This window comes from Homo sapiens, chromosome 13, assembly GCF_000001405.40.
Source record: "Homo sapiens chromosome 13, GRCh38.p14 Primary Assembly".
In the NCBI taxonomy this organism is placed as follows: Eukaryota; Metazoa; Chordata; class Mammalia; order Primates; family Hominidae; genus Homo; species Homo sapiens.
Genome location: NC_000013.11, coordinates 101,448,689 through 101,463,394, shown reverse-complemented (window position 1 = coordinate 101,463,394; position 14,706 = coordinate 101,448,689). Strand labels below are relative to the sequence as shown.

Here is a 14,706-nt window from a genome sequence, read left to right as displayed (position 1 = left end):
TGCAGTGAGTTGGGGCATGATACAGTAAGCTCTCAGATTCCTCATGCTGGCCAGGGCTGAGGGCACACCCAGCCCTGGCACTATAGAGTAGGCAAGCTTGTTGGGATATAATAGTTCAAAGACTATCAGAGTAATTCCAAGACATGAATTTAGTAATGGAGGAAGATATAACATGGAAAGAAAATTGCTTATTTGAAAATAAATATCTTAGGACCAGGAATTACGCTAGGGTAGGAGAGGGGTGTCTAGCATATTTAAGCATAATAACTCCAGTGATTTATTAATCACTCATATGTGTTTGGCACTGTCATTATCCCTATTTGGTCTTATTATTGCCCTCTTTTCAACCATAAGGAAACAGAGGTTGTAACCTCTTGGGTAACCTCCCTGTAGCTCCACAGTGGGCAAGTGACAATGTCAGGAACTGAATGCAGGCAACTGTTGGGCTTAAGTCCCTCTCTTCATGCTTTAGAAAGACACTTAGTGTTCTTTATCAGAAATGATATGGAAAAGGCCAGGTGCCATGGCTCACGCTTGTAATCGCAGCACTTTGGGAGGCCAAGGCAGGTGGATCACCTGAGGTCAGAAGTTAGAGACCAGCCTGGCCAACATGGTGAAGCCCTGTCTCTACTAAACATACAAAAATTAGCCAGGTGTGGGGGCGCATGCCTACAGTCCCAGCTACTCAGGAGGCTGAGGCAGGAGTATCACTTGACCCCGGGAGGTGGAGGTTGCAGCGAGCTGAGATTGCTCCACTGCACTCCAGCCTCGGCAACACAGCGAGAATCCAACTCAAAAAAAATAATGATATGGAAAAGATGGGCCAGAGCAATTAGATCATATAGATAACCTCGGAAAAGAAGGAAAAGACTCAGCCCTTGCATCCTCGATGGAGCATACCAACAGCCAGATATGAATGGAGTTGGAACCTCTCCCTTGCCATTCACACATACAGAGTGCCCTGCACTTTATAGGAGGGTGACTATGCTGAGAAGACTATGGGCCTTCAAAGATAGCCATACCCTTGCTCCTGAAACCTGTAAATATGTCACCTTACGTGGCAAAAGTGACTTTGCTGATGTGATGAAGTTTATGAGTCTTGGATGGGAAGCTTATCCTGGATTATCTGGGTTCAGTCTAGTTAAAATACACCTTAAAAGTGGAGTATGTTTTCCGACGGTGGTAAGAAGGGATGTGATGATGGAAGAGGCTCTGGGAGACAGCGGTGTGAGAAAGGTCTCACAACCTGTTTCCAGTTTTGAGATTTGGGAGTGGGGTACTTGTAAGGACCCGAAAGTAGCTTCTAGAAGACAAGAGGGACCCCAACTGACAGCCAGCAAGGAACTGGGGACCACAGTCTTACAACCACACAGAACTAAATTATCTCAACACCAATAACCAGGAAACGGATTCTCTCCTAGAGTCTTCAGAAAAGAACAGAGGCTATCAACACCTTGGCCCTGGAAGTCCCATGTCAGGGGACCTTGAGACCTACAGAACTCTAGAAAAGACATCTGAGCTGTTTAAGCCTCAAGGTTTGTGGTAATTTGTTGTAGCAGCAATAGAAAAATAATACAAGGGCAGGATATGAAGCTTGGCAAAATGTCTCGTCTTACTTCATAATTTTGCAGACAGGGAATTCCCCCAAAGAATGATAACGGGGCTCTCTGCTCCCAGGGAATTTTTTATTTTATTTTTTTGAGACAGGGTCTAATTCTCTCACCTAGGCTGGAGTGCAGTGGCCTGATCATAGCTCACTGCAGCCTCAATCTCCCATGCTCAAATGAGCCTCCTGTATTAGCCTCCTGATAGCTGGCACTACAGTCACCCACCACTGGGTCTGGCAATTTTTAAAAAATTTTTAGTAGGGAGCAGGTCTCGCTATGCTGCCCAGGCCGGTCTCAAACCACTGGGCTTCAAGGATCCTCCCACCTCAACTTCCCAAAGTGCTAGGATTACAGGCGATGTGAGCCACTACACCCAGTCCCTCCTAGGGCATTGATCACCTACCTCAAGAACATGAACATGGTGAGTCACAAGGTCAGATGTAACAATATGTATATGAGGCTCAGAGAGCTGAGCAGCTTTTGTGGGGGTTTATGATATCAAGAACATGCGATGTCAGTTTTAGCATTGTGTTTCAAAATATATTGAAGACTCTGAGAACCTTATGAGGGAGGTTTATGTTTTGCAAATTTAAAATTTGTAATACAAATAAATTTGTTTCCATATGTTCCTTTCCTTTCTCATTCTGGGGAAACTTTACATAGAAAATAACTCCTGAATTTCTCACATTTATACTATTTTATCTAAATACCACAATGCTATAAATATGTTCCTCTAGATCATCAAGGTGCAGGGATGACCTAGTCCAGGGCAAGGTATGTCTGTCTCTGTGTGATATAGTTTGGATGTGTGTCCCCTCCAAATCTCATGTTGAAATGTGATCCCCAATCTTGTAGGTGGAATCAAGTGGGAAGTGTTTGGGTTATGGGGGTGGATCCCTCATGAATGGCTTGGTGCCCTCCCCAAGGTCATGAGTGAGTTCTCTATTTGTTCACAGGACAGCTGGTTGCTTAAAAGAATGTGGTACCCCTCCCTCTATCTCTTGCCATGTGACATGCCAGTCCCTCCTCACTTTCCATAAGTAAAGGCTTCCTGAGGCCTCACCAGAAGCCTAGCACATGCTGGTGCCTTGCTTGTACAGCCTGCAAAACTGTAAGCCAAATAAACCTCTTTCCTTTACAACCTACCCAGTCTCAGGTATTCTTTTACAGCAACACAAAACAGACTAAGAAACCATGGTAGAGCTGCAGAGCCCTGTCCAAATAAAGCAGTACAATTGAGGAAAATTGCTGTGCATGTTTGGCACTTGCTTTCAGAAAGAAAACATTTAACTTTTATACGTCACTTGGGCTAAGACAATATGCATTTATCGAACACAGATGAATGTAAGAAAGTAGAGCTCCCGAAAAATGGCTTACATGCAGTGGGTGAGCTAGTGGGGAACTCCTGAATGTGTTTCCAAAAACTACAAGCGATGTGAAGACTATGAAGAAAATACAGGAAAGAGGCAATGTGAAAGCCAGTCTGTCTGTTACAGACATTTATTTACTGGTGAAGGGGATTCAAGGCAGATAATATTCTTACGTGCTTGGTGCCTCCGACTCAGAGACATGGAAGGGCTATTTTGCGAAAGAGAGGGGGCGGTAAATCCAAGATGGGCTAGACGGAGGTGAAGGAGTGGGCAAGGAAGACAGGATGAGGATTGAAGGAAGGGAGAGAAGATGAAAAATAGAAAAAGACTAGTAAAGAAAAAGCCTGAGTAAATCCACAAGTAGGCTTGGAGGGAGATCGTTCAACAATCTAAGAAAAATGCAATTGGAAGGGAAAGGCAAGTCGAACAGTCCTCAGGCAGCCTCAAGAGCCAGGAAGTCCAGTTCTCATGAATAACCACATATAATTCCCATACTACTTACTTCGTAGTATAAAAGTCAAATATCTTCAAGAAAAAAAATTACTAATTTTTACATATTAAAAATGTTTCAATGTATTCTAATTATTTTAATTGTTATATTGTTAATATTTGAACACATAAATCAATGTTTATAAGAATGGCTTATATTTATTTTTTATATTTATTTCTTATTTATTTGAAACAGGGCCTCCCTCTGTTGCTCAGGCTGCAGTGCGGTGGCATGATCATGGCTCACTGCAACCTATGCCTCCTGGGCTCAAGCCATCCTCCCCTCTCAGCCTCCCTAGTAGCTGGGACTACAGGTGTGCACCATGCCCAGCTAATTTTTGTATCTTTTGTAGAGACAGAGTTTCACCATGTTCCCCAGGCTGGTCTCAGACTCCTGAGATCAAGCCATCCCAGCTACCTCAGCCTCCCAAAGTGCTGGGATTACAGGTGTGAGCCACCACACCCAGCTAAGGATGGCGTATAGTCTGAATAAATGTAGAAGTATATAAAGGATATGAATATTAAATAAATTTATACATACATACATAAAATCATGCTCAATGTCACACAGAATAGAAGGTTCTTCATATCCATAAGGATACTGTTACAGAAAAAGGCACTAAATATCAGGTAAATTAAAAACCTGGCTCAAGGTTAACAACATAAACAAGTTAACCCACGTTAACAATTCAGACAAGATTCCCATCCTGCCCCAAACGTGGTGGCCAATGAAATCAGAATCTCTTTCTGCTAGCATTAATTTTTCATTTTATATCAATTCCACTTAAAAATGAGAGTTCTTTTAAAAGAACTTTAAGTCATGGATTTGGTTATCTGGTTCTTTCCTGTGATTTCTTGACTCCATCAGTTCCATCACACTTCTGATCTCGCAGACTTAAAAACCCAGCATGAGTTTTAATTCATCTTACTCATCCTTGGACACTAATTCATATTGATTTTACTTTTAAATGGCCTTTAAAAAAATAATAATTCTGTTCTTATTGCCTCTCCCGTGGAGTTCCTCCCCATTGGTTCTCTACTTTAACTTGCCATGCTTTTGGGCACCATACGGTCGGGCCTCCATATCTGTGGGCTCCTCATTGGCAGATTAAAACTATTCAGAAAATAAAAAAGTGTAGTACAAAATAATACAACTAACATACAGTATAACAACTATTTACATAGCATTTACATTGCATGAGGTATTATATGTAATCAAGAGATGATTTAAAGTTTACTAGAGGATGTGTATAGGTTACATGCAAATACTACACCATTTTATATGAGAGACTGGAACATCCTTGGTATCCACTGGTGGGGGAGGCTCCCTAGAACTAATTCCCAGCAGATATCAAGGAATGACTGTATTTCTTTCCATAAATCAGAGCACTAATGATCACTCCTATATTTGGACTCTTAATAGCTCTTATATGCTGTTTAATCAAGAACAAACTCTCTACAATATGATCAACTGTAATTCTCAACATATCTTTTATTACTTTCCTTACAGCTCTAAGATCCAGCCAAGCCAACCCTTGTAGCCCTATTTCCCAAACATCCACATGTTTTTCTGCTTCTACACTTTTGCTTAAGATTTTCCTTACTCAGAATTCCAACAGTCCACTTTTTGGATTAAAAAATCTCCCAGTACTCAAGTGCTTATGTCAAATGCTACCTCTTTCTCAAGAACTTTTAGCCATAATATATAACCCCTGGCTCAATGGAGCCCTCATAAAAATTTGTACAGATGATATTTTGCATTACATTATAGATATCTGGTATTTCTCTGTGTCTCCCTACTCAATGGTAAGCTGCCTTCTATCCCTCATCTTTACACTCCCTTCAACAGGACAGAGCCTAGAAAATATGCAGTGCTTCATAAGTGTTGCTAAATTGAATTCAATTAGCTCTTCCTAAATTACTAAAACTGAAACTCTTTAAGTGACATATTTCAACAGCAATTTCAAAAGATTTCTAAGAAAACAATACATTATTTAAGTGTCATTGTAGCTGGTCATGGGGTCAACCAGGAATGCTTTAGAAATATCAACTGAAAGTTTCTTTCCATGCAATCAAACATTTTGCCATTCTTTCTTTTTTTCTTTCCTTTTTTGTGATGGAGTGTCGTTCTGTCACTCAGGCTGGAGTGCAATGGCGCAATCTTGGCTCACTGCAACCTCTGCCTCCTGGGTTCAAGCAATTCTCCTGCCTCAGCCTCCCGAGTAGCTGGGACTACAAGGCGCACACCATCACACCCAGCTAATTTTTGTATATTTAGTAGAGACAGGGTTTCACCATTCTACCAAAATTATTTTACCCCTTAATAGACCATCACATCCATAGGAACACTCACTTGGCTGGATCTTTATGCTATAAAAGTCTGTGGAAGATGCATGTGCCACGAACAAGTGGACACTGGAAGAAACAGACTTCTAATGGAGGGAACCTAATCACTTTCAACCAGCGCAAACTATAATAAGTATGGTTCTTATGATTCACAGTATAATAATCCCAATGGACTTAACTTTAAAAGGGCATAGTGTATCTAATACAGCTGCCCTGAGGCTGGGCCAAAATAGTTATCCCTACTTGACTTTTTGGGCCTTGAATCAGTAACAGACCCAGACTACATGAAGAGAAGTAAATTGCTCTCACTGCATTAAATGCCCAACAAACACTGGGCCAGCTATCTATCTACCCATCTGTCATCTCCATCCACCCATCCTTCCATCCATACTAGCCCACTTGTTATGCATCATTGTAATAATATTATGTATATATACATTTTAATATGTACTGAGCACTTACTTCATGTCAGACACTAGTCTAAGTATTTTACATATGTTAAACCTTACAACAGCTCTATAAGTTAGGTACTGTTATTCCCATTTTACAGATGAAGAAATCAAGGCTCAGAATGTTTAAGTAACTGCCCAAGTTCATACAGCTATTAAGTAATAGGACTAGGATTTGAATCCTGGAAATTGTCTCCCAGAGTCCACACTTTTTTTTTGAGACAGCGTCTCATTCTTGTTTCCTAGGCTAGAGTGCAACGGCATCATCTCAGCTCACTGCAACCTCTGCCTGCCGGGTTCAAGCGATTCTCCTGCCTCAGCCTTCCAAGTAGCTGGGATTACAGGCACATGCCACCAAGCCCAGCTAATTTTTGTGTTTTTTAGTAGGGATGGTGTTTCACCATGTTCTCCAGGCTAGTCTTGAATCCTGACCTCAGGTAATCCACCTGCTTCAGGCTTCCAAAGTGCTAGGATTATAGGCATGAACCACCACACCCAGCCCAGAGCCCACACTTTTAATCACTCCATGATATAGTACTATAAGAGAAGGATTTTGTTTTCTTCTTAGAAGTTGGAGAGGTCTCCGAAAGTTACTCTATTTCTGGAAAGGACCTACAGGAACTTTCATGGAGGTGAAAGCACAGGGGCACATAAACATAGGAAACCTGCTATATTTCCATATTCCAGTGATACAACTGGAACTATCTCTTAAAAATAAAACTGAGAAGCTAAATTTGAAGCATGGAATACATCGACGGGCTCGCAAGGCAGCCCTAGGTGCTACTTGTAGGGATCTCCGCATGGGCCCCACAAACGTGGTCAGGGCATTTGCGGGGACAGATTCTGCTCAAGGCCCTGTAGAGTAAGTTTTGATGGGCATCAGTCAGCAAGATGAGAATAAAAAATGAACTTCATTATTCCATTCAGTATTAAAATAAAGAGAAGCATTTCATCTTCTACAGAAATGCATGCATAACCAAACAAAACCATGCTTGACTCAGTCCTGCATTTCGTATCAAGAAGGAAGGAATGCAGTGACTAAGATGCTATGAGTAAACAACATATCATTTTCTATGGGAGGGAAAAAGGAATGCTGTCTACCACAGCATTCCTTCTGCATAGTTTCTCGGAGAAAAGCACCAGCCTAGGTTCTTCAACAGGGAAAGTGAATCTGACGACACTCACAACTTTCACCAGTTAAAGGCTGCATCTTACCTCTTACTTCTCTAATAAAACAAGAGAAAAAGCCCTGGAAAATTTGTTCAAAATTCATGATATTGAAGAGGGCTTGCCAGAGGCCATAGGTCAGAGAAGCCAAGTAACAGTCAAATTTGGAATGAAATATTAGGCGGTAACTTAGCTTTCATTCCAAAGGGCTACCCTTAATTATACTGCGGTTTGTAGGACTGCGAAGTTAAATAACAAGTTGTGGCATCCAATATTTTAATTTTATTTATTAATTTATTTATTGAGATGAAGTCTCGCTCTGTTGCCCAGGCTGGAGTGCAGTGGCATGATCTTGGCTCTCTGCAACCTCTGCCTCCCAGGTTCAAGCAATTCTGCCTCGGCCTCCCAAGTAGCTGGGATTACAGGCACATGCCACGACGCCCAGCTAATTTTTGTATTTTTAGTAGAGACTGGGTTTCAGCAAGTTGGCGAGGCTGGTCTTGAACTCCTGACCTCAAGTGATTCACCTGCCTCGGCCTCCCAAAGTGCTGGGATTACAGGTGTGAGCCACCCCACCCAGCATTCAGTATTTTTAAAGAGTTGATCCACAGCCTTCACAGGGAAAACAAATCAAGTAGATGCACCTGCGCCCCTCCAAATTTCTTCTATGACTATTTTTTGCATTGCCAAGCAGCCTGCATATTAAGTAACTTATACACTACTGGGCCCAGGTTCCGAGAAAAAAATATTTTGCTATAAACTCATTCTTGATCTTTCTATGTTAGTGTTGGCTGTCTTATTATTCTTAGCTACATTGAGGGTAAAATAAGTGGCTGGTTTTTCCTACAAATTTGCCAAACCCTGGCTGGAATGCATTGTGTTGTGCTTTCACTAATGGAGTTCTGTGTCACTCACAAGGCACTAATTGAGGCTCTTGGCCTTAAGTAAAACGACACAGGTAAAGAGGTTAAGGGTGTTCTCTGGGAAGGAATTTTTTGACCCTTTCCAATATCAGAACCTGAATCACTCCTTAAAAATGTGCAAGGGAAATGAATGTATTTTCACTCCACCCTCAGAAAATACCAAGTTTCATTGCAACTCAAAAATTCAAGCAGCTAGAACAATGCAAGAACAGTCATTCTAAGTAAATATGTGCCCGTTTACTTTTTTCCTTGTTACAGTTTTCTGATATGCACTCCTGCCTGTGAACTATATTCTAATAATGAGAGGGCAAATCAGGCTTCAAAGACAAAACCTGCCTCCCTAGAATGGAGGAAAATAATACATTCCCCCTCCCACTGTTTCCTATGTAAAATAAAATACAGGCCTAAGATCTACAAATATTATCATTAACATTCTTGATAGGGATAGGAGAACCCAGTAAAATAACTCCATTTGTGAGGACATTGGGGAATTTAGTCTATAATGAGGAACTTTAGAGGCAAGTGAGATTTTAGAATTAAGCAAATGACGGCCAGGTGCAGTGGCTCACGCCTGTAATCCCAACACTTTGGGAAGCTCAGGAGGGAGGATAGCTTGATTCCAGGAGTTGGGGGGGGGGGGGGGGACCAGCCAGGGCAACATAGCAAGATCCCAACTTTAAAAAATCATAATTACAATAAAATATATAATTAAGTGAATGAATTTTTAAAACTTTACTTCCATTCAAGTTCAGAGCCTGGGGGATAAAAGTGTTGTGATAAATGATGCCAGAATTAACTAGCCAAAGTGTGACAATCGCAGTAACTTAATTGGTGCTTATGTGAAGGGAGGCGTGTCCCCACCCTTCACTCTTCTAGGGAGTGGCAGAAATCCCAGAAGAGGAGTTTCGACCTCCCGAGGGAGGAGACAGCGCCGCCCTCTTACCTGCACAGGTGCTCCCGTCGTAGGTCTCGCACACCCACTCATGGCACTCACACAGGGGCCCGAAGAACATGCCCGGCTCAGTCACGTGGCAGATGCAGACGCCGCAGTCGCAGCGGCCCCGGCCGTGGCACAGCGCGGCCCCCGGGGGCTGCCCAGGTGCGCGGCAGCGTCGCTCCGACTCGGCCCGGGACAGCCTGCAGGCGGCGCCCGGCCAGCTCCTGCGCGGGCGACAAGCAACCGGCAGGCCGGGTCAGACGCGGACGCCGCCCCCTGCTCCGAACCCACGTTTCCTCCCCAGTGTCCCCTCCAGGTGCAGACGTACAACCCCAAGAACAGGACGCCTGAGGCCCACATCTCTCTGGGGTCCAAGCGCTGCCTGGAAGGGCTGTATTTTCCCAAGCAAACAGGTATCACCCACCAGAGAAATGACCAGGGCCCAAAATGTGTAATGGGTGACCTGCCCCCGGACACAGGTCCTTCCTCCAGGTGGACAGAGGTGAACTGCCCTGCTCTTTGGTAGTTTATCACTAAATCTTATATGCACATTTAGATTAAATACAAAGTAATCCAAGGTACGGCACTCAGCTGACTTTTCAGTTCTCCTTTAAAAAACGTCCCACTGCTATCTGATGGCCAATGGGCACTTATATTACAGAAGAGAAAACGTGAATCTATAGAAAGAGTTAGACATGCTATGATAGCATCGGGCATAATTTGCATTAAGCAGTCTTTAGGAACTCTACTTTTAAAAAGTTTAGTTTCACTATTGCAGTGTGCCTCACTCAGTCTCTTTCAGGATGATACAAAATGTAACACAGACCTCCTGTTGCTGCCCTTGGGAAACAGATCATTCTGCTTTACATGTTGTGAGAAGATACTGGTACACATAGCATTTTAACTCACAGCAGGAATTCCTCCTGATATGTATTTGCAGAAAAGAAAATTATATTTTTATTCAATGATTGCATTTTTCCAAAGGAAAAGCAAAAGGACAGACATGAGGCAATACACGCTGTAGATATAAGGAGAGGAAAAGGAACAGGTTGAAAACAGTTTATCCCTTGTCCAATTTAATAACAGCTCTTGGCTTAGGGCAGCCATCCTGCAAGCTTGAGCCCTGCCACATAAGCAGGGCAGGTCTGTACTGAAGAATAACAAACCAAACTTACCTCAGAGATGGCGAGAAGCTTTGAGGAACAGCTGACAACCCAGCAAAGAGAAGGGAGGACGCCAGCAGCAAGAAGTTCCTGAAGCCTGGGGGACGCATGCTGAGCTCCTGGGCTGCTCCGGGCGAGCTGCACTTCTGCAAGGTGGGGTTCACCGAGGGAGGCGGCAGGAGGGAGAGGTGCCACCAGCAGATGGCTGGGCAGACGGACCCACGGACACCCAGGCTTGCAGGTCCGGGGCTCCAGCCGGAGTTGCAATTGCGTTGATGAGCTGCCTGCGAGGATTTGGGCAGCGGCACTGCTCTGGGCGGGGTGCTGGTGCCAAACCCCTCAGTGGAGAGTCTAGGCAGGGAAGTAATTAGAAACAGTTGTACAAGCAGATGGTTTATTTTGACATTAAAAAAAAAAAAAGTGTCCTGTTCACAGATTTCAAGTACGGGCCACAGAAATATTTGACAAGAGAATATTTGGACTGGCCGATATTAAAGAAACCTTTAAAATAATCCCTGAGTTGTGGAGAAGGGTGAGGCCAGTGACAGTAGTGGGAACACTTGGGTAGGGAATTACTTTCACCACACGCTTTTAAAGTAGATGCACTCTTTGGAGTTTGGGTTGGGGCCGGGGCAAGGAAATCTGACAAACACAACTTTTTCTTGCATTTATTATCCTTTGATTTAAACTGGATATTTCATTTCTTTAGTCTTTAAAAAGCGTGTCATGCTTCCAGCTGTTTAGGCCAGTAGCTTATCACACCACAATTTGTTGGTGACTTGGACAGTTTAAATTGTAGTTGTCTCAAATTCACCCCATTCTCCCCATATATCAAATGTGAGAAAAGAAAATTAAATGTTTATTTATAGCACAAATTGCACTGAAAAACAATTGGTGTCATTTACTAAGCACCTACTATGTGCCAGTCATTTAGTATGTTTTCTCTAATTATGACAATAATCACACATTTATTTATGCATTAGCAAATGGGGATTTAGCATCTATCAGGTGCCAGGTTTTGTGCAAGACAGAATGAATATAACAGAGAACTAAGGAGACATGATCCCTGCTCTCTCAGAGTCCAATGAGCTAGAAAGACATTAATCAACACAAAACCACAAAAAAAAAGAACAAAGGGTTGCAAGTGCAGTGAGAAGTTACTTCCAGATGAGATACAGGCACTTGATCTAATCAAAGATGGTAGCATCTGAACAAAAAACTGAAAAAAGTATTGAATTAAATTGGGTAGAAATAAGAAGGAGATGGAAGAGAACAGGGAGACATTCTTACTCCCATTTTAAAGATAAAGAAACTGAGGGCAAAGAGGTCAACTGACTTGCTCAAATTCACAGAGGAAGTTAGTCGTATTTCAGCTGAAATCCAAAGTGCATACACTATCCCCTACATTTATGGTCATCTGGGAAAATGTGTAGAGGGTTATATGGAAGGGGGAAAACATTTTTCATTCACCCTAAGAAGAGCACTGTACATGCAATCCTTCCTCATGAAATAGAACCATCCAAGAATCATCTGTGGTCCCAGATCCTTAAAATCAGGGATGAGCCATAATAGGATGGGATTTCTCCCTGTCCTTTATATATAAGTAGGTATAAGGGTAAGACCACCACAACACTAGCCTGCTGGAGCAAGAAGACGATGAAGGTCCTCTAATCATAGTACATTTCTGTTTCTACCCCAATCTCCACCCTGTAATAGGGGAGGTTTTGCATGAGGCCCATCTGTGTGTCCCCCCACCCCCCAACCCCTACCCACACAATTTAACCTTTTTCAAATAGCTGATTTTCTGGCCACACTTAGATACAGGTGTGTACACACTGGTGGAGTCTTCTATTGCAAGGACAGACTGGGGACAGGTATGCACAGTTTTGGGAGGCTGTCTGGACAGGTAATTCTGGGGTCTTGGATAACCAAAGTGCGGCTTAGGAAAAAAGGACACAGGTTCTGAGTTGGCAGGTTCCCTAAGTCACATGAACTGCAGCCTGTGGGGGAAGGGCCTGTCTAAAAGAGACAGAATGGGAATTACTAAGTCAGTTGTTCTTAAAGCGTGGTCCATGGACCTGCAGCAACATCAGCATCATTTGGGAACTTATGGAAATGCAACTTCTCAGGCCCCAACCCCAGCTCTAAGGAATCACAGAGTGCATTTGAATAATATCCCAAGATATCTATTTTTACATAATAATAGCTTGAGAAGTTTGCAAAGCACAGGGCTCAGGGCTGACGCCTGAGGGTGCCTGGATCTAAGAGTGGAATTTCCACCCACCTTTAGTACAAATTCTAGAGTTACATTTTATCCTGCCCACGTGTGATAGTACAAGGACATAGGAACAGGCTTTCCTGTCAACATCTAGAAACCTAGTGACTCAGAGAATGTGGTAATGATAGAAGGGAAGTATCTATTCCAAAGCCCAACTAGGAATTTGCAATAAAAACATGGAAGCTTTAATAAATGAGTCATGTATTGTTTACTCCTTGCATATTTTCTGAGGGAAAATTTATTATGAAATAGGGACTTGATATTTGAACATTTTTAATGGATTTAAGTGATTTTTTAACCTGTAGTATTTTCATACAGTGTAGTATTCAATAAGCAATATTCTCTTTAATATATTATTCACCTTTGAAATGAAGTTAGTATGTACTAGGTAACTGAGAGAATATAAATGTTCAGATCATTACATTACTATGACTCAGAAATAATATTCCCAGTCAGTTGAAATAGTTATATTGTGGCTGACTTGGTGACTCAGTCGAAAGTCTTGGATCCACAGAAACTCTGTCAAAATCAAAGGGTAACTTTAAATTTATGCCTTTTAGCATTCTTTTTTTTTTTTTTTAACCAAAGTATTGAATGCCTTGGAAACACCTACTCCTTCCATTTTCCCAGTTTTCAGAACCTCAAGGACGCACATGTGCCAAGAAAGGTCCTGAGTTTCTCACTTCTGCTGGCTGGGGACACAGCAGTAGGTTGGATGCATAATGAAGGGTGCCTGAAAGGACCGGGTGCATCTGGAACTGAATTCAAAAAGATTGAAAACACCCTAGTCCTTGAATGGAGTCCTTCAGTCCTCAGGTTACACAATCAGAGAATTTCAGCCTTCAAGGTATTTTTTAAAGGTTGTCTAGTTCAAAACTAAATTTGTTGATAACATACCGTATATTTGCCAAGTAATTAGGTGGCCTTGGTAAAAAAACAAAAATTAAGAGGACCACATCCTTTTCTGAGAATTGCTTTGAAGGTTTCACCCCTTGGTTCCAGGTCTACTCTAAGAAGACATTTAAAATAATATTCTAGCCACTAGCCTTGAATCAAATATTCAATGATGTAATAGTATATTCCCCAGTCTATATAACCCCCAAACAATTCTACACTTCTTAAAGATAAATATTTTCATTGCCTTCACCTCTTTCTTACGTATTATAACTTCAAGCTTTCAAAACCCTGATTTTCTGAGCATTTTTGCTTTTTCTGGGATGGATGCCTTTTGGAAAGTATGATATATACAACTGAAACCATTCAAGAAGCTGTGGCCTAATGGATGTGGAATAGATCAGTACTTTGAGTATTCTTGTTTCATATGCTATATTTCTCCCAATAAAACTGAAGGTCATATTCACTTTTTTGAATGCCACGTTGTCCCAGTTGTGTGCTTTTAAAAGTGTATTTTTCCCCAAACACAAATTGATATTTATCTTTATTATTTTTCATCTAAGCTTTGTTCTTTTATCCAGTCGGTAAAAATAACTATGGTTACTTGTTTTATATTTATTTCACCCTCTCAAAAGTAATATGATGAGCACACATTCTGTACCTTTATTCAAATAATTAAGAAGATATTTGAAAAAAAATTAGGCTGAGGACCAAGTTTAGATACAATCTTTCTTAAGACAATATTAGCCTCTTAGCACATATTGAAGAGGCCATCCAACCACTTACAAGTGTACTGAGTTGTCTGATATGAACCTATTTCTTCATTTTGCCCAGAAAAATATTATGAAAGATCCCATCGGTTGCTTTACTTTTCTTAGTTTACCATTACATAGGCTACCACTTTTTTCTGCCATCATCTAAAATAGTGCCCAATACATATTACATACTCGATATATATTTATGGCAAAAATAACTAAAAATAATGTACAACATAAATAATAAATTTATGAGTCAACAAAGGATGCAGGTGATATAGTGGATTCTGGATCAGTTGTCAGATGACATTTTGGCCTTAGGTATCCC

General features: G+C 41.7%; 1 protein-coding gene across 3 annotated transcripts in view, besides 2 other annotated features; it reads right to left on the bottom strand.

The window, feature by feature from the left end:
• The window catches only part of ITGBL1 (integrin subunit beta like 1), a 268,182-nt gene extending 257,462 nt beyond the window's left edge, over nt 1–10,720 (bottom strand). For 2 of the 3 annotated variants that reach the window (NM_004791.3, NM_001271755.2), the window contains exons 1-2: nt 10,464–10,720; nt 9,295–9,512 (exon numbers count right to left, since the gene is read on the bottom strand). In NM_004791.3, coding sequence (NP_004782.1) covers nt 9,295–9,512; nt 10,464–10,561 — 316 coding nt within the window. In that variant the 5' untranslated portion in view covers nt 10,562–10,720. The remainder of the gene's footprint in view (nt 1–9,294; nt 9,513–10,463) is intronic. The other variant, NM_001271754.2, reaches the window with a different exon arrangement.
• Nucleotides 10,638–11,142: an enhancer, noted in NCBI's record as "H3K4me1 hESC enhancer chr13:102104604-102105108 (GRCh37/hg19 assembly coordinates)". NCBI's record gives its function as "activates a minimal SCP1, AML or CMV promoter by ChIP-STARR-seq in naive H9 embryonic stem cells {active_cell/tissue: H9 hESC(naive)}" and the evidence as "EXISTENCE:reporter gene assay evidence [ECO:0000049][PMID:30033119]".
• Nucleotides 12,476–13,675: an enhancer, noted in NCBI's record as "P300/CBP strongly-dependent group 1 enhancer chr13:102102071-102103270 (GRCh37/hg19 assembly coordinates)". NCBI's record gives its function as "activates an origin of replication core promoter dependent on BRD2, BRD4, P300/CBP, MED14 and CDK7 cofactors, with strong dependence on P300/CBP, by STARR-seq in HCT116 cells {active_cell/tissue: HCT116}" and the evidence as "EXISTENCE:reporter gene assay evidence [ECO:0000049][PMID:35650434]".